Below are 4,125 nucleotides of genomic sequence, written 5' to 3' on the forward strand. Positions count from 1 at the left end.
ACTTCTGTCCCTCACGGCCAGTTTTTCTCCTTCACATCGGTCACTCCCACCTACTCCCCTGCTGAAACTTCCACCTATCAGTCTCTTCTCACACAAGGCAAATGGTTCTTAGACCAAGGAAAACATATCCTTCCAGCCTCACAGGCCCATTCTATTCTGTCGTCATTTCATAACCTCTTCCATGTAGGTTACAAGCCGCTAGCCCGTCTCTTAGAACCTCTCATTTCCTTTCCATCATAGAAATCTATCCTCAAGGAGATCACTGCTCAGTGTTCCATCTGCTATTCTACTACCCCTCATGGATTGTTCAGGCCTCCTCCCTTCCCTACACATCAAGCTCGAGGATTTGCCCCCACCCAGGACTGGCAAATTGACTTTACTCACATGCCTCGAGTCAGAAAACTAAAATATCTCTTAGTCTGGGTAGACACTTTGACTGGATAAGTAGAAGCCTTTCCTACAGGGTCTGAGAAGGCCACCGCAGTCATTTCTTCCCTTCTGTCAGACATAATTCCTCAGTTTAGCCTTCCCACCTCTGTACAGTCTGATAACAGACCAGCCTTTATTAGTCAAATCAGCCAAGCAGTTTTTCAGGCTGTTAGTATTCAGTGAAACCTTTATATCCCTTACAGTCCTCAGTCTTCAGGAAAAGTAGAACAGACTAATGGTCTTTTAAAAACACACCTCACCAAGCTTAGCCACCAACTTAAAAAGGACTGGACAATACTTTTACCACTTTCGCTTCTCAGAATTCAGGCCTGTCCTCGGAATGCTACAAGGTACAGCCCATTTAAGCTCCTGAATAAGACACTCCTTTTTATTAGGCCTCAGTCTCATTCCAGACACCAGAGCAACTTAGACTGTGCCCCAAAAAACTTATCATCCTTACTATCTTCTGTCTAGTCATACTCCTATTCACTGTTCTCAGCTACTCATACATGCCCTGCTCTTGTTTACACTGCCAGTTTACACTGTTTCTCCAAGTCATCACAGCTGATATCTCCTGGTGCTATCCCCAAACTGCCACTCTAAACTCTTGAAGTAAATAAATAATCTTTGCTGGCAGGACTATGCTGAATCTCCTTAGGCACTCTCTAATCAGATGTCCTGGGTGCTCCCAAGTCTTAGACCTTTTATACCTGTTTTTCTCCTTCTCTTATTCCATTTAGTTTTTCAATTCATACAAAACCATATCCAGGCCATCACCAATAATTCTACATGACAAATGTTTCTTCTAACAACCCCACAACATCACCCCTTACCACAAAATCTTCCTTCAGTTTAATCTCTCCCACTCTAGGTTCCCACGCTGCCCCAATCCCGCTCGAAGCAGCCCTGAGAAATGTTGCCCATTCTCTCTCTCCATACTACCCCCCAAAAATTTTTGCTGCCCCCACACTTCAACACTATTTTGTTTTATTTTTCTTATTAATATAAGAAGGCAGGAATGTCAGGCCTCTGAGCCCAAGCCAAGCCATCGTATCCCCTGTGACTTGCATGTATATGCCGAGATGGCCTGAAGTAACAGAAGAATCACAAAAGAAATGAAAATGCCCTGCCCTGCCTTAACTGGTGATATTCCACCACAAAAGAAGTGTAAATGGCCGGTCCTTGCCTTATATGATGACATTACCTTGTGAAAGTCTTTTTCCTGGCTCATCAAGCTCCCCCACTGAGCACCTTGCGACCCCCACTCCTGCCCACCAGAGAACAAACCCCCTTTGACTGTAATTTTCCTTTACCTGCCCAAATCTTACAAAATGGCCCCACCCCTATCTCCCTTCGCTGACTCTCTTTTCGGACTCAGCCCACCTGCACCCAGGTGAAATAAACAGCCATGTTGCTCACACAAAGCCTGTTTGGTGGTCTCTTCACACGGACGCGCATGAAAGTATCTATGCATTTATAGTGCATGTTAAACCTCATGCTATTTTAAGCAAAAAACTAATGTCTCTTTGAGTGACCACTAAAAGGACCATTTTGGCTATGTTTATAAATTCTGGTAACTTGTGCCAAATCTATCAAGTTTGCCAAAAAAAAAAAAAAAAAAAAATTTACTATACTTATTCAGATCTTTCCCTACAGTTTCAATAAACATATAAAGTTAATAGATGATGAAATATAAATTGCAATCCAATATAAACAGTAAGACTCAGAAGAAAGATCATTAAGAAAAAGTACCTCCAAAGAAGAACTTCAGGAGAACTAGATGATGCAGGTATATTCAAAGAAAGAATGTGATGAGAGGACCAGTTAAACAATGGTATTTCTAATCTTCCCATCAATATTATCATTTGTTTGGATTAGTTCTATATTTATATTATATCTTTGTTTATATTTTATGTTTTCCTTATTAAATACTGTTGAAGATTAAAATAAAAGGATATGATCGTATCACTTAAATTTCTAGAAAAGCAATCTGAACTCCAGATATTTTGGTCAAGAGATCACTCTCCTTCCTGTAGTTAGATTTGGCCAATTCAAAGAACCAATTAAACCATATATTCTTGGGTTTTCATGAAGCTGGGTTTATTTGCAAATCCCCTCCCCCCTTCTGGGAGGTAAAGGACAGGAAATGAAAAGGTTATTTTCTGCTTGGAAGGTCTTGTAAGAAGAACTTGGTAGTTTCACACAGAGGTGCCCCATTCATAATCACAACACCTAACAATGAACTAGCTGTTCAAAGCTGTTTTAAATTCAAATGAGAAGATTAACGAACATCTCCAAAGCATTCCTAACCCCCAATCTCTTTTAAAAATTAATTGTTTTCAAAACCCCTCCTTATGTTTCTCTAGCAAACAGCTGCACAAGATAAACAAAGTGAACAATCATACAGTATAGAATGCTCTGTGCAGAGCCTAAATAAAGCAAGCTACAAAATTGATGAATTCCTTCACAAACCATTTCTAACACATAATGCAGGACAAGCGGAAATCAGACCATGTGTTACACCACAAACTCCCTTAGCTGTGCAAATCATTAGAATTTGATCTTGATCCCAGGGTGTTTACAATAGTGTGATATAGTCTTTCCACCATATTACTCAAACTATCCTTGTGTTATATACTTTGTATACTATGTCTGCTTTGACTACTCATGCAAGGTATAGCATGATAAATTGGAGAAATTTAATTGCAATTGGGCGTAATTGATTCAAAATTTTCTAATAAACTCAAATGAATGATAATTTCCTGATACATTCTTTCTTTTTTAAATCAGCAGTGAGAGAAGCATATTCCTAATACATTCTAAATGAGGCATGTTATTACAGCTGAATTATTACAAAAGACTTCCTTACATGTAGTCATACTGGCCTGAAACAGCAAGGAATCTGTAGCTCACTAATAAATGCATGGTAATCACATGTTTTCTTATTTTCTAGATGACTTCATGGATTATTTAATTTTAAATGTACTCTACACTTAAAGGTGATTGAAAGCCAAATACTGCAAGAATCTTGGAACAATTCACTCTATGGTTGATGTTCTGTGGTTACTTATAGTGGGATGTTTAGACATATCTGAGAAATCTAGAAAACAGGAAACCTTATTGAAACTGTAATTTCTCTTGGCTTGAAACAATCAAACTACAAAACTCAGTGCTGTTTGAGATAGTACTTATAAGCTAAAAGAGCCCTTCCAGGCTGGGCATGGTGGCTCACACCTGTAATCCTAGTGCTTTGGGAGGCCGAGGCGGGCAGGTCACAAGGTTAGCGGTTCAAGACCAGCCTAGCCAACATGGTGAAACCCCGTCCCCACTAAAAATACAAAAAAAATTACCCAGGCGTGGTGGCACACGCCTGTAATCCCAGGTTCTCAGGAGGCTGAGACAGGAGAATCGCTTGAACCCAGGAGGCAGAGGTTGCAGTGAGCTGAGATCACACCACTGCACTCCAGCCTGGGTGACAGAGCAAAGCGCTGAGACTCCGTTTCAAAAAAAAAAAAAAAAAGCCCTTCCCATCTTTAGTCATATACTTACTATTTTTCTTTCTCTTGTCATTCTTTTTTATTTTTTCATCTACTTATTTAGCTCTTTATCATTTTTTCCTCCTCTTGTGACTATGTCTTAAGATCACCTGCCAGAGAATTCTCAAGCATGATAGTCTCCCTTGTGGCCATCTTCACT

At 39.9% G+C, this 4,125-nt stretch overlaps 1 annotated feature.

The window, feature by feature from the left end:
• Positions 1,218–1,726: an enhancer, noted in NCBI's record as "OCT4-NANOG-H3K27ac hESC enhancer chr2:200049723-200050231 (GRCh37/hg19 assembly coordinates)". NCBI's record gives its function as "activates a minimal SCP1, AML or CMV promoter by ChIP-STARR-seq in naive H9 embryonic stem cells {active_cell/tissue: H9 hESC(naive)}" and the evidence as "EXISTENCE:reporter gene assay evidence [ECO:0000049][PMID:30033119]".

The sequence above is a fragment of the Homo sapiens genome, chromosome 2 (genome assembly GCF_000001405.40).
Source record: "Homo sapiens chromosome 2, GRCh38.p14 Primary Assembly".
Lineage (NCBI taxonomy): Eukaryota > Metazoa > Chordata > Mammalia > Primates > Hominidae > Homo > Homo sapiens.